Source organism: Homo sapiens, chromosome 9, assembly GCF_000001405.40.
Source record: "Homo sapiens chromosome 9, GRCh38.p14 Primary Assembly".
Taxonomy (NCBI): domain Eukaryota; kingdom Metazoa; phylum Chordata; class Mammalia; order Primates; family Hominidae; genus Homo; species Homo sapiens.
In genome coordinates this window covers 72,346,395-72,372,083 of record NC_000009.12, presented here as the reverse complement: position 1 = coordinate 72,372,083, position 25,689 = coordinate 72,346,395, and the positions used below count along the sequence as shown (strand labels likewise).

The following is a 25,689-nucleotide window of genomic DNA, read 5'->3' as shown; positions in this document are numbered from 1 at the left end:
GAGAATCTCTTGAACCCAGGAGGGAGAGGTTGCAGTGAGCTAAGATGATGGCACTACACTCCAGCCTGGGCAACAGAGTGAGACTCTGTCTCAGAAAAAAAAAAAAAAAAGAATGGTTAACTTTCTAGGCTTCGCGCCATGGTTCACACCTGTAATCCATCTGCCAAAGCAGGCAGATTGCTTGAGCTCAGGAGTTTGAGACCAGCCTGGGCAACATGGTGAAACCCATCTCTACCAAAAATACAAATAATTAACTGGGCACGTGTCTGTGGTCCCAGCTACTCCGGAGGATAATGTGGGAGGACTGCTTGAGCCTGGGAGGCAGAAGTTGCAGTGAGCCGAGATCGCGCCACTGCACTCCAGCTTGGGTGACAAAGTGAGACTCCCTCTCAGAAAAAAAAAAAGGTTAACATTCTAATGGTAAATATAATTATGAAATAAATTTAAAGGGGGAAGTGATCCTGAAGAGGCAACAAACACTGTGCCAAAGAACAGAAGGTTGTACTCTCACTAGATATATGACAATGGACAGGATATATAACTTTGCCCTGAGCCTCAGTCAGTCAACTCCTCCAGCAAAAGGAGAGATAAGAGTTATTTCAATAGGCTGTTGTGAGAATTTATCAAATTAATACATTTGAATATACATTGTAGGTGGAAAGACATTACACAAACTTAAGATACTTGCCTTGGCTCTCTGCCTAGAACTTAGATTGCTCCAGGACAGAGGCCCACCCTACCCACTTTTCTCATGCTAGTCTTCTGTCTGAATCCTGACCTCCCTAATTGTTTCTAGCTTTTTTTCTGCTGGCTAATAGGACCTTAGGAACAATTGCCTCCTGCCTAAGCTTTATAACAGCACAGTTGCTGGGCTCTAACTAAATCACTGACACCATTCCTGTCTTCCTGGCCAACCCCACCACCCATGAACCCAGGTTATGATATGCTCCAAAGTATTGTTTCTTTTTCTTTTCTTTTCTCTTTTTTTTTGAGAGGGAGTCTTGCTCTGTCACCCAGACTGGAGTGCAGTGGCACAATCTCAGCTCATTGCAACCTCCGTCTCCTGGGTTCAAACGATTCTCATGCCTCAGCCTCCGGAGTAGCTGGGATTACAGCCACACACCACCACGCCCAGCTAATTTTTTTTCTTTTCTTTTTTTTTTTTTTCTGAGAGGGAGTCTCACTCTGTCGCCCAGGCTGGAGTGCAGTGGCACGATCTCGGCTCACTGCAACCTCCATCTCCCAGGTGATTCTCCTGCCTCAGCCTCCCAAGTAGCTGCGATTACAGGCACCCGCCACCATGCTTGGCTAATTTTTGTATTTTTAGTAGAGACGGGGTTTCACCATGTTAGCCAGGCTGGTCTTGAACTCCTAACCTCAGGTGATCCACCCACCTCGGCCTCCCAAAATGCGATGATTACAGGTGTGAGCCACCATGCCCAGCCTTAATTTTTGTATTTTTAGTACAGATGAGGTTTCACCATGTTGGCCAGGCTGGTCTTGAACTCCTGACCTCAGGTTATCACCTGCCTCAGGTGATCCGCCATGTTGGCCAGGTTGGTCTCGAACTCCTGATCTCAGATGATCCTCCTGCCTCCCAAAGTGCGGGGATTACAGGCTTGAATCACCTCACCCAGCCCCAAAGTATTGTTTCTGAGACAATCCCAGAGCTAACTACTGAGATTAACAACCCACACTTAGCTTGTTCAATAAAAAAAATTTCTTAAGAGTTGAGACCAAAATATTTTGTTTCTTAAATGGTGTTTACAACAAAATATATATACATAGTAAATCATCAGTTTCCTTCAACCTAAGTTCTTGATTTACATAAACGATTAGGCAGGCCCAGCTCGATGGCTCACGCCTTTAATCCCAGAACTTTGGGAGGCAGAGGTGGGCGGATCACCTGAAGTCAGGAGTTCAAGACAAGACTGCCAGATTTTGTTCTCTACTAAAAACACAAAAACTAGCTGGGGGTGGTGGCGGGAGCCTATAATCCCAGCTACTAGGGAGGCGGAGGCAGGAGAATCGCTTGAACCTGGGAGATGGAGGTTCCAGCCTGGGCGACGAGAGAGAAACTCCATCTCAAAAAAAATAATAAGAAAATTAAAAACAATAAAAGCTTTTAGTTTTTCAAATAGTCTCAAAAATTGTTTAATGCTACGTTGATAGTATCTAGATAGTGTCAGAAAGTCTTCTCTAATCTGGTAAGATATCTATGTCTTTTATTTGAAGATTCTTTGATCAAGTTATTTTCAGAGAAAATAATTAAGAATTTTAATTTACCAAAAGGTCTATATAATAATGAAATTGCAACTTGCTTTATCAATTTCTTATTTATTTATTTTTAATTTTTTTTGAGACAGAGTCTTGCCTGTTGCCTAGGCTGGAATGCAGTGGCATATTCTCAGCTCACTGCAACCTCCACCTCCCAGGTTCAAGCGATTCTCCTGCCTCAGCCTCCGGAGTAGCTGGGACTACAGGCACCCGCCAACAAGCCCGGCTAATTTTTTATATTTTTAGTACAGACAGGGTTTCACCGCGTTAGCCAGGATGGTCTCGATCTCCTAACCTCCTGATCCGCCCATCTCGGCCTCCCAAACTGCTGGGATTACAGGCGTGAGCCACCGCGCCCAGCCTTAATTTTTAAATTAGTGGATTTGCTCTAAATACAATACTATAATCCTTTTAGCCAATTATTTTGAAAATACTTCTATAAAACAGTCCTTTACCTTGATCTTTGAAATCTGGGAAGGGGCTGGGAACGAAAGGGAGGAAGGGCACTATGTGAACGTCCAGTGACACATCAAAGTTTTGTGCTTTTTGTGTGTGGGTTTGTTTGTTTGTTTGTTTTTTGTTTTTGAGAAGCAGTTTCGCTCTTGTTACCCAGGCTGGAGAGCAATGGCGTGATCTCCGCTGACCGCCACCTCCACCTCCCGGGTTCAAGCAATTCTCCTGCCTCAGCTTCTGGAGTAGCTGGGATTACAGGCACCCGCCACCACACCCAACTCATTTTGTATTTTTAGTAGAGACAGGGTTTCACCATGTTGGTCAGGCTGGTCTCAAACTCCTGACCTCAGGTGATCATCCCGCCTCAGCCTCCCAAAGTGCTGGGATTACAGGCATGAGCCACCACACCCGGCCACTCTGAAGTTTTTAAGACCCTAGAAAAGGCTTTGTGCTTCACCATGTTCTACTCAAGCACAGACAGAAAATGAATAGTTACTTATGACCAAGTATTATAATAATGTCATAGCAGCAATTCTTGTCTCCATAATAGGAACTTATATGTCAAGATAAAATAACTTCAGGTCTTTTACATTTTACAGTGGACTAATAACTTATATTGCTATTTTTAAGGGATGTCAGTTTTCTCTAAGAAATTTAATTACATTTGCTCTTCTCCCATCATCAATCCCCTTTCCAGGCCTAGTTTACAAAGAAAAGTGTAAGAGAACCTGCAATGACTTTACCTGAGTTCTTAAGCAGACTACCAGGTTACCTACTTTAAGGAAATAAGCCTGGCTCCTTTGGCCATGGGGATGGTTGGAACTCAGACCTGGGTGAGTTTTCAAGATCCGTTATGATTGGTTATATGCTCCCATAGCATTCTATGCTTTTCTTTCAAAATATTTACCAGTTCATAATTATATATTATATGATAATATCTTTCTCCCCAAATGACAGTAAGATCCATGAGAACAGGGTAACATCTTTTTTTTTTACATGAATGTATATCCCAGCACCAAGTTAAGTGAGTGCCTGGAAAGTAGCAAATGTGCAAAACTTTTTTTTTTTTTTGAGACAGAGTCTCGCTCTGTTATCCCAGGCTGGAGCACAGTGGCACAATCTCGGCTCACTGCAACCTCCACCTCCCCAGCTCAAGTGATTCTCCTGCCTCAGTCTCCCGAGTAGCTGGGACTACAGGCACCTGCCACTCGCCTAGCTAATTTTTGTATTTTTAGTAGAGACAGGGTTTGGCCATGTTGACCAGACTGGTCTCCAATTCCTGACCTCAGGTAATCCGTCTGCCTCCACCTCCCAAAGTGCTGAGATTATAGGCGTGAGCCACCACACCTAACCAATATCACATTTTGAGCACGACCAACTTTGCTCATTATCTGTTTTTTTGTTTGTTTGTTTGTTTTGTTTTTGAGACGGAATCTCATTTTGTCACCAGGCTAGAGTGCAGTGGCATAATCTCTGCTCACTGCAACCTCTGTCTCCTGGGTTCAAGTGATTCTCCTGCCTCAGTCTCCCGAGTAGCTGGGACTACAGGCACGCACCAACATGCCCAGCTAATTTTTGTATATTTTTTAGTAGAGACAGGGTTTCACCATGTTGGTCAGGACGGTTTCAGTCTCTTGATCTCATGATCCACCCCCCATGGCCTCCCAAAGTGCTGGGATTACAGGTGTGAGCCACCACGACTGGCTACTCATTATCTTTTTTACAGAGGTTGGTTTCAGGCCAAAGTTGACCTTCCCTAATGACTATAGAGCAAAGCCCTTTGGCATGTTATATTAGAAGCATTCTCTTATATATTCTGTGTTTAGCAATTCAGTTTGTCTTTGGAGTGCAAGTGAAAATTTAAAATATAAGAAAACAAAAATAAAACAAAAACCTTCTTAGAAGTATATCCCTTAATCTGTTACACCAGTAATATGAGACTTTTTTTTTTTAAACTTTTCCCTTTCACATGGTGTGAGCCATCTGAAAAAAAGAGGGGTCACCTGATGCCATGGTAGGGTTAAGTCAATAGTTTTCAAACTTGTGTATGCATCAGAATCACCTGGAGGACTTATTAAGCCACAGACGGCTGTGCTAACCCCCAGTTTGTGACTCCACAGGTTTGGTGCTGGGGCCTGAGAATCTGTATTTCTAATAAGTTCCCAGGTAGTCTGGAGACCACATTTTGAGAACCACTAGAAAATAGCTGCTAAAAAGGAATCTTGGTATGTTTAGGTCCAATACCTGCAACATTCTTGATTGAAACAGTCTCAGAGAAAATTATAAATGGGTGATAGAGAAGATGAATTATCAGAAGGTGACATAATATTATGGAATACACTATTCAATAATGAGCTTGCCTCATTACCCTTAGACTTTTTTTAAAGTATGCTTCTTCAGGAATTATCTTGTTTCACTCACTATAACTCCAATTCTAGAGAAAGAAAAAAATTCAAGTTAAAATTCAAGTTATTTTTGTTCTCAATAATAATCACCTCCATTGCCTCCCTGCCCTTCAGTGCCCTGGGCAAGCCTTTTTAGTCATTGTTTCTTTATCTGTAGAAAGGGACATGATAATAGTACCTATCTCAGTGAATTGCTGTGAGGATAAAATGAGACCCTAAATGGAAAATAGTTGGCACTGAAAATGGCCTGTAAATGGTAGCTGCTATTTTTTTTTTTTTTTTACTAATTCATCTGCTAATTTAAGGAAATAAATTGCAGTGGTCGTGGGACCAGTGACCCAAACTACTTAAATCTCTAATACATTAATTGATCACAGTAATAAACCCGAATTTGTTAAAAAACAAAACAAAAGGTTGTTATGCTCCAGGTACTTTGCTAACTGTGGCGGAGAACTGTTTGATTTGGCAGTGGTGGCTCAAGCTATCAGTATAGCATTCCCCCAAATACAGATTATAAATAAGGACCACCTGAAGCGCAATATGGGCCCCCCCCCACCCCCGCTCCCACCCCGGAACAACCAAAACCATATCCAGGGGAGATGCGTAGGAATCTTTAATCACCCCAGGTGATTTTTTTTCTGATTACCAACTTTGAGAAACACTGAAGGGACCTCTTCTCCATTCTATATGTGGCTAATATAAACCCTAAACATCATTTCTATGTATTCGTTAGACCGTTGTTTACTAGAAAATTTCAGAAGTCCTTTCCGACTTAGTAATTTTGTTATTTTGAGTTGAACTGAAATTCACTTGGAGCGGTCAGTTGAAAATGTTTTTTGTTTGTGCTCTGAAAAGGTTCCCAGTGTTCCGGGTAAAGTCATCCTTTCACCCATGGGGGACCTGTGCCTCGTGCCTGAACTGCCCGCCTAGTACCTCCCCCCTTGAACTTCCTCTCGCAAGCCTCCTCCTCCCGCTTCATCTGGGCCTCGGGTCTAGCTTGTTTTGTCCCTTCGCGGCTTTTGAGTAGAACATTTGGTGCTTTCCCAGTTCACGACGCTTTGCTGGAATCGTCAATTTCCAGGGATTTCACAGGCTGGCCAAAACAGTTTGTTCAGAACAGCGCCGCCGGGGCATTGGCAGCCCTGGGCGGCCGCGCGTTTCCTCACTCCGCACAACCACCCGTGACCTTGGGCGAGCGAACGCACGCCGCCAGCTGCGTCAGGGCCACGCTCGGGCTGGACTTCGGAGCTCAAAATGGGTGTGGGGAGTGAGGAGGTTTCATAAACAGAAAAGACCTCGAAGCCATAAGGCAATTCTTTTCCTTTTCTGGGGGTGAATCCTTACGATTCTTGGGGGAGGGAATGTCTGCCCAGGGCTGGAGACAAAGCGTGAGAACTAGGATGGCGAAAAACGGGTTTGAATGAGAAAATCCGAAGGAGGGAGGCTGAGGGCGGACAATTGGGTTAAAAATAGAAACGCATCCTCCACAGGACTCGCTCTTCCCAGCTCCACCCTAGGGGCCGACTGCCAGGCCAGTGGCTGGGCTCCGCGAGAAGGCACAGCAACCCGTCTCGGCCCCGCCTCCTGGACCTACTGACAGGGCACCGGGGGCGTGGCCTTGGGCCCGCGACGTCACCGCGCTCCCCGCCGCCGCCGCCGCCGCCGGGGTTTTCGCTGACGCACGGGTCCCGCCCCCTCCCCCTCTTTTCCCTCACAGCCCGGGCGCCGGGCGGCGAGTGCGTTAGTCGGCCGGGACGCGGAGCTGTGTGCATCTCCTACGCGGGCTCGCTCGCTCCCGGGAGCCGCGCAGCTTCCCCGGCGGTGGCAGGAGCGGCGAAGAGCGCCATCAGCGGGCCCTTACGGCCCCAGGCCTCGCGGCGCGCGGTCCGCTCGCCCTCCTCGTCCGCCCAACCTGCGGCCTGTGGAGGCGTGAGGCGACGACAGGCGAGCGCCTCGAGCAGCGTTAGCCGCTGCGGCCGCCGGTCCTCCCTCCACCTCCTCCTCGGCCCCCCCTCGCTTCCCTCCTCCCACTTCCCGAGCTCCGGCGTGTCCCGGCCACGCTCGACGCTGCTGCAGGAACAAAGGAAGACCCCGCGGCGGCGGCGGCGCCACCTCCGCCTGCTGCTCCGACCCGCTCCCGGCCCGCGGCGGCGGCACCAGGGCGCCCGGCTCAGCCTTCCCGGAGGCCTCGGCCCGGCCTCATCGTGCCGGCTTCGCGCGCGAACCCGGCTTTCGCATTTGGGACCCTGCAGGGTGAGTGATACGGGGCTGCGGGTGGGAGCCGGGCTCCTTGTTGCCGGGCCGGGGGCGGGAGTGAAGGGACCGGGGCGCCGCGGGCCAATGGCGAAGCCGGAGCAGGCCGCGGATGGCGGCGTCCGGGGGAGGGGAGCCCGCCCGCCAGCCCAGGAAGCACAAAGACGGAGGCGTCATCCTGTCGTCGTGGCCCGAGACCTGGCTCCCGGCGTCCCTGGCTCGCTCCACAGCACGGTCGGGAAACAATGCACGGCGTGCCGCCTCTGCGGGGCCGGCCTCTAGGCCGCTCGCCTCCGCGGCGGCGCCCGGCGTGGGCACCACGACCCAGAGAAACAAAGAGGCCGAGGCGGCGGCCGCGCCCCCTGCCCGTTGCAGCCCCCCCTAGCTCTCCCCTAAGAGGAGCCGTTCGGGGTCGGGGGTCGGGGGTCGGGGATCCGCGTGGGGCCTGCAGGCGAAGGGCTGGCCGGGCCTGCTGAGCTGCTGTTCTGCATGACTCAGTGGTTTTCGGAGAGGGCCCTGTTGGGCTTTATTGAGTGAGGCCTTTGCTTAGAGGGGGATGGGGTATCAGTGGGACCCGAACTTGTTCCAAAATCCATTGGAACATGGGGCCGGGGGTTCTCGGCGTCGTCTTTTGGGCTTCTCGACGTCGCTGCGTTTTTATCCTGAGATCCGTTTTCATGGAGGAAATGGAACACCTCCTTTGTTTGGTGCATTTAGGCTGATGAATGTGAAATTTTTTGCTCGCTTTCCACGCACTCCGTGGAGGTGTGTTTTCGGGGAAGGGTCGGATTATCTTTATTGATTGAGTGTCTCCTAAGGGATAGCATCTAAGGAGATACCAAGATAAAGGAACATATAGGTCACACATCCCCGTTCTTAAACCTGGGATTTAGATACAGACTTCTAAAAACATAAACGAATGTATTTTATTCCTTATTTTTAGGATTTTTTTTAAAGAGTAGGCTTTCAGAACTCAGTTGGTGAAAATACTGCAATTTTATCTTTGAAGTTTTTTGTTAAAATGTTTCCCCACACCCCCCTAAAAAATTAAGGATTCTTTGTAGTTGTCTCCTGTTTTCTATCTCCCAGGCCCTGAAAAGGAGCCTTTAAAAGTCAATTCTACTCCATTTGGCAAAGAGGGAACTGAAATCTGGAAAGTAAGGACTTGCCCAAGGTCACTGACTTAGTGGCAGACTAGAGACTTGAACTCAGGTCTCCATTCCCAGGTGAGTGGGAATTCATGCCATCTCATCACATCATGTGCACCTGAAAGAACTGTATTCCATAGGTGTAAAAGCTCTTTGTTCAGAATTGGAATTGGAGAATTGTTCAGTTACACTCGGGTGTTTTTTTAAGCTGTAAGTTAGAGGAAGCCATAAACTTTATAAAATCTGCATTCTAGCTATACCTGATAGAGCTGACACGTGCATGCTCAAGTTGCTAATTACTTTAAAGGCAATAAATAGTAATGGTATTTTTTTCTAAAATACAAGGGGAATGCAATACCTAATGGGAACACACATCCCCCACTTCATCCCCTAAATCCTCACTAAATGAGGATTCTTTTTTACACTGTCTCCACTGTGCTTAGTTTTTTATCAACAACCTTGACCATTTTAGCTTTGACTATGCTTTCATCTTCTAGATTGAGATTGTTCTGTAGTTTTTCCTACATTAGGAAAAAACTAGCAGCCCTTTTTTTGTTTTCTTATGTTAGATATATGAACGCTGCATCCTTAGTTCTTGGGGTTGTGTAGGAGTTGGCAGGCTTTGAGATATAAATAGAAGCTGATTTCAGAGGCCCCTGTTGACTAGGCTTTATGTGAGAGCCTCCATCCAGCTCAGCTTGTCACATTGCAGCCTTGTGACAGGCTGAAGCGCCCTCCCATGTGATCTGAGCTTCTGAGAAATATTAAAGCAAGCTGTGCACATGTGATGGCATTTAAAAGCTGGCTTTCTAGGGGAAAAAAATCTAAAAGATGGGAACCCATGTAGAAGACTCATGTCCTGGTACCTCTTGTGTGTCTCGCAGTTGAAAGTTATTTATAATGAAATGAAGGTAGACATGTTCTCTGAAGCAAAGTTGGAATACTTTGTTATCTCTGAGTGTGTGAAATCTTTAGATGGAGTATCCTCCATTTTATCTAAAACAAATATTTTAAGAATCAGATTAACTAAAATTACTTAGGTAGGTTGATCGCTTGGCCTTAAACTTTAAAGCCAATGTCACATGAGACTGGGCCTCAGTGTAGAAAATGTAAGCTAGCATACTTAAACTGGTTTTAAGGAGTGACCCAACTTTCATGCATAGGGCAAACATTCACACATATTTTGTGCGTGGTGGGCATGCAAATACATACATATTTATCATTTGAAAGCATTTTTTGCTCCTATTATGCTCATTTAAAAACCCAGCTGAAAGTGTTTATTAATAAACTTCCTAAGTGATGTTGAAATGTTTACACTACCCTGCTCCAAAATGAGTCAGCTAAATTCCAGTTAATATTTAAAGAGACAGTGTCAACTAAATTAATACTGTTGTTAAAAGTAAGTTGTGGATCTTGGTCACTCCACACAAGCTAGATTGTCTTAATATTTGTATGGTGCACTTTTACTTACAAAAGGGAAGATAAAATGTTTTGGGGAATAATTACCAGGGGTCTGGCCAGGTCAAAATTGGTTAGTCCCCTTCTCCCATCTTCTAATTTTGGTAGTTAATACTTGTTAAAACATCGTTTTTTAATAACTCACTAAAAAGTGTATTCTAGTATGTAGTTGGAAAAAATGACTGACCACAAGTTACAGCACACGAATTTTCCTTTAAGCAAATGCTCTCAAATATGCTTTTTGTACATATGCTTATACATGTTTAAGATGACATGAAAACCCTCCACAACTTTATTTTAAAATAATTTTTCTTTAATATGTATTTTCTCATCCAGAGGAAAACTTATTAATAATTTAGCACAGCGTTTTAACAAGACTTTTAGAAAAGCAAATCTTCCTTGGAAACAAATGCTTGCTATGTAAAGCTTTTTCTGGTAACCCAGCATTGAATATTAACCATTACTAAAGGTTATGTGTATATATTGACTTTAATACATTGAATTTGAGCTTGGAACGGTTTTATTATTTTCTGGTATGAGGAAGACAAGCACTTGTTAAAATTAATAGTGCCTTTGGCTGAGAAATCTGGTTCATAATTTGTGTATTGCAGGTTCCTAGGCACTGGCTTTGACATACTCTGAAACTTCAAATGGAGAACGTAAAAGGAGTTTCGTAAACCAGCTGACCCTAAATTCTTAGAGATTTACTTGTTGGTGCCAGGGTAGCAGGAAGGGCTACCAGTTCTCTTTTCAGCCTTATATGAAGATGTTTCAGCATTAAAAAGTACAGATGCTCTGCCTCAGCAGATTTGTCAAATTACTGATGAAGCCCAGATATGTACAGGTGTTTTAAGAAAACTTTATTCATCCAGTTTAAAGAACTACCTATAAATATCAAGACTCAGTGATAATTGTGATTAGCCAATTAAGTAAAAACATTTGAAATGGTCTGCCTGTAGTGCAGCAGAGTGAAAAGTTAAAGATACCAGTTTCCCAAATTGATTAAAACATAACCCTGAGAGCTAACAGACCTTTTCATAAATTGAAACCAAGAATAGTGATAGGTAAAAATACCCTAATAATTGATAAAATTTCTTTTTGGGTTTTTTTTTGGTCCTAAAACAGTTTGCTTTTATAAAGGCAACAAAATATTGATAATTATCTCTGCCCACCCTTTTTAATGATTAACGGAATTTGGGCTTTTGTTAAAACTTGCGTAGCAATTACAACGGTATACCGATGATTATATTAGACTATATTTTGGTGATAACACTAATTTCTGAAATTTCGTTTCATCTATAGCAGAAAAATATGGCTCAGGAGACTAACCAGACCCCGGGGCCCATGCTGTGTAGCACAGGATGTGGCTTTTATGGAAATCCTAGGACAAATGGAATGTGTTCAGTTTGCTACAAAGAACATCTTCAGAGGCAGCAAAATAGTGGCAGAATGAGCCCAATGGGTAAGTTATTTCCAAGGAAAAACACATTTGAAAGAACTGGTGGACAGAAATACAGAACCAAGAATTGGGGCTGAGAATGCTGAAAGCACATGGAGAGAACACCTGATAAGAGCTTGAAATTCAAGCAACAGCCCAAGTGCTTGACATGACTGATCAGGAATGAATGACTATCTACAAGCATCTTATAGCTTTTCAGTTTTCTTTTTTGGGGTTATTTTGTTTCACACTTGTGTTCATTGGATTGACTTTTTAATATTTTTTGTTTGGATACTCAAGTATAGGATTACAGCACAGTGAATGCTTATATCACTAACCTAATTAAATGCAAGTATTTATTACTACGTCTTGATACTAAGTGAGTTTTTGTAGTGTTCATTGGTTCCTTACAAATCCTTTTTTTAAATAGGAACAGCTAGTGGTTCCAACAGTCCTACCTCAGATTCTGCATCTGTACAGAGAGCAGACACTAGCTTAAACAACTGTGAAGGTGCTGCTGGCAGCACATCTGAAAAATCAAGGTAAGATTGAACGTTTCAGAGTTTTTATGATATTACAAAGAAGAAATCAAGATGTCTGTACTGGTCCAATAATAAGTTAATAGATACCCTTGGCTTTGCAATCGAGGATTTCAGTGTCTTTTAATACATGACTCTTAAGTCATTGAGTAAAGATGTGTGTTACTTACACCTGACTCCCTAACCCCCTCAAGGATACTGTGTTGGAAATGCTGTGCTTTTTTATTTCTTTGTAATTGAGGTTTAGGGATTGTCGAGTGAGACTGTAGAATATTATTGGGCCAGACAAGGTGTTTTGGCAGAGCTGCCCTTTTGCCCTTAAACAAGTTACAGGCACAGCTAAAAATCCCTAGCTGGTTGTAAAATATGGTAACCTATACAAAATGCAGCCTCGAGTTCATGAGCCATTTATCAAACTTTTTTCTCAACCATTTGTGCTGGGCATCCAATTTTTTTTTAAACTTTAGATTATCTAGCTCCATTTGCTCATTTTGGAAATATTCTATAATTTAAAGTTGAACTGACAACTTATTCATTGTCTCAAGAAGTACCCTTAACACCTTTAAAAATTGTTTGCTTGAACTCAAATAGAAATGTGCCTGTGGCTGCCTTGCCTGTAACTCAGCAAATGACAGAAATGAGCATTTCAAGAGAGGACAAAATAACTACCCCGAAAACAGAGGTGTCAGAGCCAGGTATGTTTTTCATTTAATACTTGTTCAGTTCTGAATTTGATAGTGCAAGAAATGGCTGGTGGGGGGATTCTTTCCTTCCCATTGAAGGACCAAAGAGGAGGGAGAGCCATAAAATATAGGCCAAGCAAAGAACTACTATCTTTAAAAGTATCTTGAGTATGAGTATCTTGAAGTGTAAAATAGTCATATTTATTCTCAGTTTCTTCTCTGCTCATCCCCTGCACTACCCTTGTGCATAATGGGCAAAGTCTGTAATCTGGAGATTGGATGTGTTAAAAACTTGATGAAGTTAAATTTCAAGGGTATAAGGAATAATTTTATAACCAAAAGCAGTAACTTTAGTTTTGATATTGTCAATGTTGTGGAAAACTTTTAAGTAGAACAACATATTTGAACACTAGAACTTATTTGAAGTACAATATTCCTATCATATTTTGTGGGAGTTTGAAACTCAGTGTGGAAAGGCATTTTGGTTTTCATGAGATATGGTGACTTTGGAAACTTTGCTTATATAGCACAACCAGAAGTGCCCTGATGGTGGAAGAAGACTGACTTGAATTACCTGTACTAGGCCCTAGAACAAAAAGATTTCTGTGCTTTATATAGTGCACGTAGCTTATTTTATCAATTTGTTCTTTTTTGGCAGAGTGCTGATTAAATGCAATATAAAACTTCTGTTGTGAAAAAATACTGTCAGTGGTTATACAGTCTGCTTTGGAGGCTGGCTTTTGCTAACAGCAGTCAAGTTTGTTTATTGTATTAATCTTACAAAGTTAAGGCCAAATTCTCAAGTTTGGCAGGTGAATCTATATTTGGCATTTTGAAATGAGCTCCATCCTTAAACTGACCACATTAGTTTGCCCGTGATGCCTTTGTTTGGGTTTTTGTTTTTGGTTTTGGTTTTTAAATACAAAATTACTCTGACCTTGGAAGAATAGTCTTGGGTTAGAGCTAGTCTGCATTTATTATTACTTAGTAGGCATTCTGTGATTCACTGCTATTTGCCTTTTCTGTGTCATTTTCTTATTCCCCCTTCTTCCCTTGTCTCAGGAGCCGTAGTTCATTTTTCAGATGTGGCCAAAGAAATGGCTGACACCCTCCCTCTACCCCATACAACTATTCCCCTAGATTATTCTTTATCCTCATGACATCAGGATAAACATTAATGTTGTCACAGTAGCAGTAGGTAGAATATTGTTCGTTTAGTCTAATATTAGGCTATTTCTCCCAGTAGATTCATTGCTAATGCAATTGAATTATAAATTTGGGCAGAGTTTTAGAGAAAATTGCCATTAAATCAATCAGCTTGTTGTAGGAGCTTGTCTATATGCTAATAGCATTGGTGCTGGCATATTTGGGCAGTAATTTCAGCATTGCATACATAAATTTGCTATTGTTACATTTGGATTAATATTAAAACCTGAGTTTATAGTGTTTCAGGTGTAGTTGAATTATATGTAAGTAGATATAAATTTTGTTATTTTTGTGTTAAAGAACTAGTGGCAGTGTGGGCTTTAGTACAGTAATGTATTTTTTGTTCATTGTGAGAAATTTTATTGATGCCATGTGTACACTGAAACTTAAAGCCTTTTTAGGTGGAGAAACGGTGGGACTGTTTGTAGATGCTATCTCTGTCGATAGTGGATGCCCATTTTAGATAAGATTCTTGTTCTGCCTGTGGAATCCTTAATAGTTTAAAATCAATACTTCTCGAGTAGTTTCTAAAGACTGTTTGCCGATCTGTTTTTAAAACCAAGGTTTAAAAAAATCTTTCAAGTCTTCCTATGATGTTTAGTGCACCTGTGAAAATGGTAAAATGATTGTTTTGGAATTTTTGGATCTGACGTTGATTTAGGGATGAATGGTTTGAGTTTTATTTGTCAAAATTTGCTGTTTTTATATCTACAGGATTTTTTTTCCTATAAGCATAAAATCAAAGTTGGCTACTGTTATTTACTGTGATGTAATGAATTTGAACTGCCCTGATTGAAAAGTTTGCATTTAGGAAATTATAACGTGGAAAAACTGAGCATATGATTAACATCTCCCAGCTCTTTAAAACAGAATTAGGATTTTGTTTTTAGTACTGGCTGTTACCAGTGTTTTAAAGGAATTTCTTGAGTGAAGCGATCATTTTACAAAATTAGAGAAGCAAGTAGTATGGTGATTGGCAGGAATTTCTCAGATTTGAATCAAGTTCTGATGTTAAAATGGAAGATTCTGTTTAAAGCTTGTATTTTCAAGGAATACTTATAAACATTTTTATCAGGCATCTTCCTGTTTCTCTTAAATACTTCCTTTTTTGACTTAAAAATGTTAGCCAGTGAATGCTTGACAAATTTGTGTTTTTGTCCTTTTCAGTTGTCACTCAGCCCAGTCCATCAGTTTCTCAGCCCAGTACTTCTCAGAGTGAAGAAAAAGCTCCTGAATTGCCCAAACCAAAGAAAAACAGATGTTTCATGTGCAGAAAGAAAGTTGGTCTTACAGGTATTACAAAACACAAGACAATGTATGTTTTACTTCTGCAGTTAACAAGGAGCTTTTGGTCACTCCCTAAGAGACTAGTTGGTCTTACACATAAAAAAAAAAAAAAAGCCTGACTAGCTGTAGTCTAGGAAAGGTGGAGGAGGTGGTATTGGGGTGGAAAGAAGTTGGGTTTTACTTCCATTTGTCTCCTAATCATATAAAACTATTAACTCAGGCCCTCTTATTTTATTAGATTGATAAAAAGTTTTTGTATACCTAGGGAAAATGTTACTGAACTAACAGTAAGCGCCACCTACTTTGAGCTATGCAGGGAATGTTCTTGGTGCTTTTTTTCTTGTCTCCTTCAAATCTCAGACCTTGATGGTTGTTTTCACTTGAGGAAGCATTACTTAAGATATGGTAGGACTGTGTTTTGAATCCAGCTTAGCCTAACTCCAGAGCCTGTGTAAATTTTATCCTGCGTTGCATCTACAGGAGTCGATAGAGGGAGAGCATCTGGGAGAAATTAGCTGGCAGATAGCCCATTTTGTTTTCTCCACGTGGTTTGGCTTACCAAACACTTCGCTATTGCCCTTGCAAGGAAAGACTGAACATAGTTATTTGAATTTCTCACCATGTCAAAGGAAGTTAAAAGTTCCTTTTCCAGGTTAACGTGATAGACTCTGTAAGAGTTGACTGTGTCTTATCACCAGGAAGTGGAAGAAAAGAGTTCACTGTCTTTTATGTTACAAAGCAATGAAAATCTGGTTCCTTTTCTATAGTGACTAAGGCTTTTTTTTCTTTTAATTGCCTCAAGTTCTCAAATGACTCTACTTCTTCGTTTGTACAGGGTTTGACTGCCGATGTGGAAATTTGTTTTGTGGACTTCACCGTTACTCTGACAAGCACAACTGTCCGTATGATTACAAAGCAGAAGCTGCAGCAAAAATCAGAAAAGAGAATCCAGTTGTTGTGGCTGAAAAAATTCAGAGAATATAAATTACTTCTTGTGAAGAGACTGAAACTTTGTTTTTATTTTAATATATCGTAGGAAAACATTAAAGAGCAGATGCATGGCCATTTTTCTTTGATGTTCTCCAGAGTTTTACATTACACTTGTCTGTCTTATAATTGATATTTTAGGATGTTTGGGTGTTTGTTACAGGCAGAATTGGATAGATACAGCCCTACAAATGTATATGCCCTCCCCTGAAAAAAATTGGATGAAAATCTGCACAGCAAAGTGAAACACACAGATAATAGGAACAAAATGTAGTTCCCATGTGCCAAACAAAATAAATGAAATCTCTGCATGTTTGCAGCATATCTGCCTTTTGGGAATGTAATCAAGGTATAATCTTTGGCTAGTGTTATGTGCCTGTATTTTTTTAAAATGGTACACCAGAAAAGGACTGGCAGTCTACTTCTACCATAGTTAAACTTCACCCTCTTTAATTTCACAACATATTCTTTGGAAGCAGGAAGAAATGCTCATAAAGAGGATCAGACCTTCTTTCCCGTGAAACCAGTATTTGGCGCCATATATAAGCCTGGTTAAATTGGTCATCTAAAGCTGTCAAATAAGACATTCTGTGAAAGGTAAACATCGAAACTGGTTATAAGTAAAACCATCAAGCCAACAACAGGGTCTTGAGATAACCTTTGAAGCTTATTGTACTGGCCTGCACCAGAAGATGTCTGCATTACTCATTGCTAAAAATGTGTAGCACAGAACTGCACTAGGATTAATTTGTTTACAAGAAGAAATTTAAACTCTACGTTTGGTTTTCACATACAGCAGCTCTATTGAATAACATGCATCTGAATTTTAAGTTGCAAAGGTATCTGAATAATTTTTCATGTGCATCTTTTGTCGAATGTTTTGGTTCAAGAAAGAATGTTTAAAGCTTTTTAAAAGACTTCAGTTCTTAATGTAACTGTACCCTTCTGCATGGAAAATCATAACCAACATGGCTGCAGTAGACTTCTTAGTGGTATCCAGCACCACTTGCAGAGGGCTGCTTTATCATATTGTACTTGGGTGTAGGACTCTAGTGTTCTTGGGTGTATTGCATGGGCTGCATTATCTACAGCATTGTACAATAACAACTAGAAAAGGCAGTATACTTCACTGATGCTTGTCTGGTAATAATCACTTCTGTGTTATAATGGAAGGTTTTTTGTGATGTATGAAACTTGTGTTTTTTATATATAAATGAGTATAGTTAGTGTTGTGGTAATGCCTGTTTTCATCTGTAAATAGTTAAGTATGTACACGAGGCACTACTTCTGATTTATTGCAATGTTCAGTCCTAGTTTTTACTTTTATTCTTAAAGCATTCAGTTTTGCTTTCAATTTTATGTACCTTAGTTCTGAGTTAGACCTGCAGATGTGTACAGATAGTTCATATTTATGTATTGCACATAATCATGCTATTCAGCATTGATGCTATATTGTATTATGTAAATAATAAAAGCCATGTACAGAGGGAAACTTCACTTGTTCATTGGGTTTTTAAGCCATAGTTGGAGTCCTAAAGGGGGAAAATTAGAAAATGTTACTTTACATGGCTATATAATTTTTTTTCCTTTGCCATCGCTGAACTTGTTCAAGTGATAATCAAGAGATATTAGAAGCATTTGCAGGTATGATACCTGATAGGCAGTTTATTTTTGAAGAATTCAATAGGCACCTTTGGGATTAAAACAATTTTAAAATTTGAGAAAGATGAAATTTGAACAATTATGGCCTACCTCGCTTCTCCATGTTGTAAAAGATGATGTTTTATGACAATTCTGAAGAAGAAAGTAGGTATGACTTAGTTTACAAAAAGAGTTCTGTTTTATTTCTGTTTTGGGTTTGGCTCTAATACAGAGATTCACCCATGGACTTGGTCTCTGTAGCGTTTATGCCAGATCATAAAGAACAAGGGGTGACAGGTACATGTTGACTTTACCTGGGGTAAATGATTACCAGAGTGCAACTGTTGCTTCTCTGTGATGGAGTTTGGGGTGGAAATACCCTAGTTTTATCTGTCAGTTCTTTGCATGCTGCTACTTTTGCTTCAAGTTAGGGAGGTACATATGTATGTCAAAGTTCCTATACTGACATAGGGTAGTATTTCTCTGAATATGAAAAGTCACAATTGAGTTGAAAATTTAGAAGTTGAAGATTTAGAAGGGCAACTTAATTTTTCAAGTTAAAAATGGAAGTAAGAGTGGTATAGAGAAGGTAAGATGAGCCCTCGGACTCCATCACTCTGAAGGTCTGAGTAGTAGCAAGAGATAGATTTTTGTTTGGCCAGGCTGCAGTGCAATGGCGTAATCTTGGCTCACTGCAACCTCTGCCTCCTGGGTTCAAGTGATTCTCCTGCCTCTGCCTCCTAAGTAGCTGGGATCACAGGCACCAGCCACCACGCCCAGCTAATTTTTGTATTTTTAATAGAGACAGTTTCTCCATGTTGGTCAGGCTGGTCTTGAACTCCTGACCTCAGGTGAGCTGCCCGCCTCGGCCTCCCAAAGTGCTGGGATTACAGGCGTGAGGCACCGCACCCGGCCAATCAGTTTTTTTTGTTTTTTTTTTGTTTGTTTGTTTTACAAGAAACATTAAACCAGATCAGAACAAAGATTTGTCAGGGTTGTCCATTGACTGGGGAGAAAGGGAATCAGTGTGTAAGGCACCTGAGAGGACTCAGTTCTACCCAAATTCTTGCATTCAAACCTGAATGCAAGGCCATGAAGTCCTTTGAAATGTACAGATATTAAGCAATTTAATAATATACCATGTTTCCCTTACATAAGCAGACAAATATTTACACCCCCATGACCTGAAGTTTTGTTAGGCTGTGACCACATGAATTCGCAGTATAAATGGGTGAGTCCTTTTTGAAAACCTCATCTTCAGTGTGCCTGATCTGTAAAACTAGAGCCTCAGGTTTGATCCTAGGTAGGCTTCCCACAACGTGGGGAAAATTAGTTTGTGAGGGAAAGCTGTTTCTGAGCATTATGGCATAGTGATTAAGATGAGGGACCCTGGAACCAGCCCGTGATTTTGGGCAAGTTATTTTAGGTCCACTTTGGACTGCTTCATCTCTTAAATGAAGACAGCAACCACCTTCAGGAGTGTGAAGGTGACAACACTTAAAACTGTGCCTGGCACATTGTATTTGCTATTGTCTTAATGTTCTGGAATAATGGTTTCCATAACTTGGGAAGAAAACTTTGAGAACAGGATTGGTTACATCAAGTTGTATAGTGAAAAGATAAAGATTTGTTATTTAAACTTGCAGTTTAAAGTCATTAGAATCATTCTTTTCCGTAAGGCTTTCTTTGCAAGAGATCTGCATTAAATAAAGTTGCTAGGAAATAACTAAAATTGGGGAAATAATCTAATAATAGCAAGATGTTAAGCATACTATTATTGTATTTTGGGGGTTGGTAATAACATTCACATGGATTTATCAATACACACTGAGAAGCAAAGCCTCTCAAGCTGTCCCATATCCTCCATTTCAAAGGCACACATACATTTTAGGTAACTCATAATTTAGAAAGGTTATTTAATCTTTTCCACATGTAAATATTTGAATATGTACAAAGACTTGATTTGACTCTTGTCTGTTTTTGTTTTGTTTTGTTTGTTTGAGACAGAGGCTCCGTCGCCCAGGCTGGAGTAAAATGGCATGGTCTCAGCTCACTGCAAGTTCCGCCTCCCGGGTTCACGCCATTCTCCTGGCTCAGCCTCCGGAGTAGTTGGGACTACAGGCACCCGTCACCACACCTGGCTAATGTTTTTTGTTTTTTGGGTTTTTTTGTATTTTTAGTAGAGAGAGGGTTTCACCGTGTTAGCCAGGGTGGTCTCGATCTCCTGACCTCATGATCCGCCCACCCCGGCCTCCCAAAATGCTGGGATTACAGGTGTGAGCCACTGCGCCTGGCCGACTCTTGTCTGTTTGAATGCAAAGTTCTCAATAGTGGTTTTTGTCCATAAGTATTAACTTATAATTTTGGAGAGTGATAGGTATGGTTGCTGGTTGATTAGCAATAAGATTATGTAGCCTTAAACTAGCTAGAAGAGTTTGCATGGGTGAGGCAACAGGCTGTTAACAAAAAGAAACTGGAAATACAGTTTCCCCTGTTTGTTTCTCCTGTTTGTACAATCTGCTTTAAAAACAAGTGAACATGCACCATGTCAGTCATGGTGAATCGGCCAACAGCCAGCCCTTGCCAGTTGACATCACAGTCTAAGATGGGAAACTGGTACAGATAGACATGAAGAGAGCTTAGCAGTGGTTGAGGTGGTGACTAAATATACAGTCATTGAATAAATACCGTGTAGCAAATGTAAAAAAAAAAAAAAAAGTACAACAGAATACAAAAGTGCCATTTAATATTTTATAGCTATTTCTATGCACAAGTGCTGGTTTTAAATTTATATAAAAGCAAAGACTGTTTCTGTGTTTTCTTCCAGAGTATTTCTGTTACAGCCATAGAAGTAAAGTTAATAAATGTAAGACTTTTTTTGTTTTGTTTTGTGCCATAAATGTAAGACTCCATTTTGTCTGCAACTGCTAAGTGCCACTTTCCTTTTATTATGGGTAGGGATGTTGCTAAGGATACTTAAGTAGTTAAGAGCAAGATGAAAGAAGTTACAGATTATTTTCTAGTTGGCTAATCTGTGTTGAATACATTTTTTATGATGATTTTTATTGACACCACAGGACCTCAGCCTGTATATATTGATAATGTAACCAAAGCTGCTCAGGAATTGGGGTAATTTTTCAGTCAACTCAGAAGTTAACAGGAAATCCTTGTTACACATTCTTAAATTTTAGATAAGTGCAAGAACTATTAACAAAATAACATTAAGCACTTACCTTGTAGAGCTCAGGCATCAGCCAGGAAAAAAAATACAAATAAATTAGCCTAATGACCTCATCTTAAATACTTGTGTCTGGGTAAATTTTTCAGACTGATCTTGTGAATATAATCCAGGATAAATTAAAAATGTTGGCTGGTCCTTGCTATGTAATATGCTTCTGCCCTCTTGTCCCTTCCCATCACTAAAAATGTATTCATACATGCAACTACAATACCAGTTGACAAATACGATTTAGATTTTCTGTTGTGTGGTATTTGTCTACTATTATAGAACCTCAAGCATTTCTCTAAAGAAAACTCTTACACATCTTGGTGTTGTGGTTTCATGTCCACCCTAATGAGAAAAGTTCTTCCTTAGTAGGGTCATGTTTCCTGAGGAACCCCTACCCTAGATTTATCCCATAGTAGGTCTTATAAATAATATCCACATACTAAAATTATTTGGCTTCTAATGTTAAGTTTTACACTAATATTGTAAAAGTAACTCTACAGTCAAAAATTGTAATATTTAAATAAGAATAATCTGCCATCCGAGCCATTAGCCTTTAGCATCTGTGTTATATTTTAAAATGCCTGCAAAAATTGTCTATGCGTAAACAAGTTGTTTTTAGTTATACTGTGGCTTATTTGGTTGGCATGAAAATTAGATTGCTTTGCATATCTGGGGTAGCATAACCAGTTTTATCAGTGGCTAGATTATATCAGATGACAAAAATAACATGAGACTTCAGAAGTCTGATAAATAAAGTGATGATACCTATTAGAAGTGGGTGCAATCTATAGCCATCAAAATGTGATGCATTCATATTCAGGCATGGTCCTTTAGCATTCGAGTGATAGGCACTTTTATTTGAGTCTTTGAATGAAAGATAGGCTTTTAAAGTGGATTAAAGGATAGCAGTTTTTACTTGATAAGTTGGGACCCATGGTAACAGCAAGCATCCCACTTATAACTGGTGTCCATTCAGGGAAAAACAGATGTAACCATTATGTGACTCAATACAAAGAAGAAGATTACACTGGTAAAAAATACTAAGTGAAAAAAAGAAAAACTAGTAAAAAATACTAAGAGGATTACATTAGTGAAGATTCAGGGTGTGAAGGTGTGAAGTAAAAGGAGAGAAGATTAACAGAATAGGTTTACCTTTATTTGATCTCCTTACAGGGATCTATCTTCCATGGTGACTAATTCTCCTATTTTGGTGAAACTTTTCAGGTTGATGGATTTAAAAGAATAGTATAAACCCAAAATTTTCCATTTTAAGGTCATGATTTTATTTTTTACTCTGTGGTTCTTAAATACAATTTACTTCATTTTATATAACACCTGCCAAGAACAACCTAATAAACAAGATCTGGTTTAGGTTTAATAAAATTAAAATGTGTTTAACAAAACCTAGAAATGATGTGAATTTGCTCCTAGGAAACACTGAAAGCATGTGAAAGGAATAGCACTCCAATCCAGCAGTTTATTTTATTTGTGCTTTTTAATAATTGCTATTTTAAATTCTCTAAGGAGTTGATAATACATAGTCATTTCTATTTGGCTTTGAAGCGATCCAAGTATATATGTGGTTTGTTTTATAAAACAACCACAAAATACAGTCTCCCTATGAACATATGCAGAGTGGTCGGAAAGTCTTCCCACTCTCTAGGCCAGAAACATCATGATTGCTCTCATATCTGACTAAATACTGACTAAGACATCTCAAACTCTACATTTTGTCCAAACTAGAGGAGTTTTTGACAATTTTTCTGGACTGGGGAGGTTATTTTTCAAAGATCCCTATTAAATTTTAGGAATCAGAAGGGAATCTAAGAAAATTACTTATTTAATCTACAAACTGATAAACTGAGAACCTAAAGTATTGAAAATCATTAAATATTCTATAAAATCAATAATTTACCAAAAATAGAAAATGCTTAATTACTTCATTTTTATTTATTTATTTAGAGACAGAGTCTCACTCTGCCATCCAGGCTGGAGTGTAGTGGCACGATCTCAGGTCACTGCAACCTCCACCTCCTGGGTTCAAGTGATTCTCCTGCCTACTCAGCCTCCTGAGTAGCTGGGATTACAGGCATGGACCACCGTGCCCAGCTAATTTTTCTATTTTTAGTAGAGACGAGGTTTCACTATGTTGGCCAGGCTGGTCTCAAACTCCGGACCTCTGGAGATCCGTCCGCCTTGGCCTCCCAAAGTGCTGGGATTGCAGAGGTGAGCCACCACACCTGGCCTTAATTAATTCTTTAGAATGCTGTCTACCAATGGTTCTTGGGCCAACAGCCGTGCTTTAAATTCCCTACCAGTGCCTTCCTATATATATATATATATATATTTTTTTTTTGAGTCGAAGTTTCACCTTTGTTGCCCAGGCTGTAGTGCAATGGCATGATCTCGGCTCACCGCAACCTCCGCCTCCCGGGTTCAAGCAATTCTCCTGCTTCAGCCTCCCAAGTAGCTGGAATTACAAGCATGTGCCACCACACCTGGCAAATTTTGTATTTATAGTAGAGACGAGGTTTCTCCATGTTGGCCAGGCTGGTCTCAAACTCCTGACCTCAAGTGATCCGCCTGCCTAGGCCTCCCAAAGTGCTGGGATTACAGGCGTGAGCCACTGCGCCCGGCTTCCAATAGAATTTAATGTAGGCCAACATGTAATTTAAAAATTTCTAATAGCCACATTTTAAAATGTGCTATATGTACTATCTTCAATTTCTTAGAGCATATCTCAATTAAGACTAGCCACATTTCAAGTGCTCACTACTCATATGTGGCTATTATTACGTAGTGTATTATGCCATTCTTGTGTTGCTGTAAAGAAATACCTGAGATTGAGTAATTTATAAAGAAAAGAGGTTTAATTGGCTCACAGTTCCACAGACTACAGGAAGCATGGCAGCATCTGCTTCTGGGGAGGCCTCAGGGAGCTTTTACTCATGGTGGAAGGCAAAGAGGGAGCAGGAGGAAGAGAGAGAAGGTTGAGGTGCCACACACTTATAAATGACCAGATCTCACAAGAACTCATTATCACAATGACAACAGCAAGAGTATGTGGTGTTAAGCCATAAGAAATCGCCCCCATGATCAATTCACCTCCCACCAGGCCCACCTCTAGCACTGGGGATTATAATTCAACATAAGATTTGGGTGGCGACAAATATCCAAACCGTATCACATAGTACACTCCTAGACTGTGCTTAAAGCCTTCTTTAAGGACTCTAAACAATTGTCACAGCTAATCAAATCTGCCCAATGATGTGTAGCCCCTTATACGGAAGCCCCCACATTGGTTTGAACATAATACCTGGTACTGAATAATAGCATTTCAAACTTTAAAGTTAGTTTTTCAGCAGTACACTTTTTTTTTCTCTTTCTTTCTTTCTTTCTTTTTTTTTTTTTTTTTTTGAGAGGAATCTCACTCTGTTGCCCAGGCTGGAATGCAATGGCATGATCTTGGCTCACTGCAACCTCCACCTCCAGGGTTCAAGCGATTCTCCTGCCTCAGCCTCCCAAGTAGCTGGGATTACAGGCATGCACCATGATGCCCCACTAATTTTTGTATTTTTAGTAGAGACCTGGTTTCCCCATGTTGACCAGGCTGGTCTCGAACTCCTGACCTCATGTGATCCACCTGCCTCTGGGATTACAGGCGTGAGCCACCGCGCCTGGCCAGTGTTACACAATTTTTTTTTTTTTTTTTTTTTTTTTTTTTTTTTTTGAGACAGAGTTTCACTCTTGTTGCCCAGGTTGGAGTGCAATGGCACAATCTCAGCTCACCGCAACCTCCGCCTCCCGAGTTCAAGCGATTCTCCTGCCTCAGCCTCCTGAATAGCTGGGACTACAGGCATGCGCCACCACATCTGGCTAATTTTGTATTTTTAGTAGACATGGGGTTTCTCCATGTTGGTTAGGCTGGTTTCGAATTCCCAACCTCTGGTGATCCACCTGCCTCTGCCTCCCAAAGTGCTGGAATTACAGGCGTGAGCCACCATGCCCAGCCAGTGGTACATATTTTTAAAACTAAAGATCAAGAGCTGGATTTTAAAATGAGCTAGATGTATGCTACTCAGTAGAAATAAAATGAAACAGGCCTGTTAAAGCTGTTACAAGAGGATTCTCCTGGTTTACATCTGTGGGAAGCTATGGTATCTTCTGGGAAGCCATTGAGAACTGAGAGGAGCAAACACATTCCTGTATTTGACACTGGGCATCTTCCTAAGGCCTAGGCGTGCCACATGTGAGCAGGATAAGTGAGGCATTCATAGTTTCAGCTTTCAAGGAGATCATAAGCTAGTACAATGGACAAAAATAATCTTCTGAATTACTAAATTGGTCGTGTTAATTTTAGAACTGAAAAAGTAAATTCCTTTTGAACTTCATGAAGATCAATGGTCAGAATTTCAAAATTAATGTTGGATATTATTAGGTGTAGATTGTTACTTGAAGCCTCTTCTACCAGGGAAAACACATCTTACAAAATTTGTAACCATAGTAGGTGGAGAGTAAAGTTTTCCTTCTAGGGTGGGAAAGCAAAGGAGTAGATGGTGGTTAGATACTGGCTTTGAAGTTTGTGACTCAAAAACTGTGTGACTCTAGAAAAGTTACTTACTCTTGAGTATTTTAGTGCATTCATCTATGCAGACTTTAAGAATTAAAATGATGTATATAAATAC

General features: G+C 40.8%; 1 protein-coding gene across 7 annotated transcripts, besides 5 other annotated features; it reads left to right on the top strand.

Annotated features, from left to right (window-relative positions):
- Positions 6,465-7,169: an enhancer, noted in NCBI's record as "NANOG-H3K27ac-H3K4me1 hESC enhancer chr9:74979831-74980535 (GRCh37/hg19 assembly coordinates)". NCBI's record gives its function as "activates a minimal SCP1, AML or CMV promoter by ChIP-STARR-seq in primed H9 embryonic stem cells {active_cell/tissue: H9 hESC(primed)}" and the evidence as "EXISTENCE:reporter gene assay evidence [ECO:0000049][PMID:30033119]".
- Positions 6,465-7,873: a biological region, named in NCBI's record as "hESC enhancers GRCh37_chr9:74979127-74979830 and GRCh37_chr9:74979831-74980535".
- Positions 6,638-7,017: a silencer, noted in NCBI's record as "silent region_19948". NCBI's record gives its function as "represses an Ori minimal core promoter by ATAC-STARR-seq in GM12878 lymphoblastoid cells {active_cell/tissue: GM12878}" and the evidence as "EXISTENCE:reporter gene assay evidence [ECO:0000049][PMID:35858748]".
- On the top strand, positions 6,876-20,671 carry ZFAND5 (zinc finger AN1-type containing 5). Of its 7 annotated transcripts, none has more exons than NM_001102420.3 (7): positions 6,876-7,388; positions 8,478-8,614; positions 11,297-11,456; positions 11,863-11,974; positions 12,563-12,666; positions 15,028-15,153; positions 15,983-20,671. In NM_001102420.3, the coding sequence occupies exons 3-7, from the start codon at positions 11,306-11,308 to the stop codon at positions 16,129-16,131; spliced, it is 642 nt and encodes a 213-aa protein (NP_001095890.1). In that variant the 5' UTR covers positions 6,876-7,388; positions 8,478-8,614; positions 11,297-11,305; the 3' UTR covers positions 16,132-20,671.
- Positions 7,028-7,857: a silencer, noted in NCBI's record as "silent region_19947". NCBI's record gives its function as "represses an Ori minimal core promoter by ATAC-STARR-seq in GM12878 lymphoblastoid cells {active_cell/tissue: GM12878}" and the evidence as "EXISTENCE:reporter gene assay evidence [ECO:0000049][PMID:35858748]".
- Positions 7,170-7,873: an enhancer, noted in NCBI's record as "H3K27ac hESC enhancer chr9:74979127-74979830 (GRCh37/hg19 assembly coordinates)". NCBI's record gives its function as "activates a minimal SCP1, AML or CMV promoter by ChIP-STARR-seq in primed H9 embryonic stem cells {active_cell/tissue: H9 hESC(primed)}" and the evidence as "EXISTENCE:reporter gene assay evidence [ECO:0000049][PMID:30033119]".
- Positions 20,672-25,689: the final 5,018 nt, after the last annotated feature.

Bases quoted from the DNA above. Each gene is read 5' to 3' on its own strand.
- ZFAND5 (NM_006007.4), top strand. From the start codon at position 11,306: ATGGCTCAGGAGACTAACCAGACCCCGGGGCCCATGCTGTGTAGCACA. The intron at 12,667-15,027 runs GTATGTTTTTCA...TGTCCTTTTCAG, and splicing joins AACAGAGGTGTCAGAGCCAG to TTGTCACTCAGCCCAGTCCA. The intron at 15,154-15,982 runs GTATTACAAAAC...TCGTTTGTACAG, and splicing joins AAAGAAAGTTGGTCTTACAG to GGTTTGACTGCCGATGTGGA.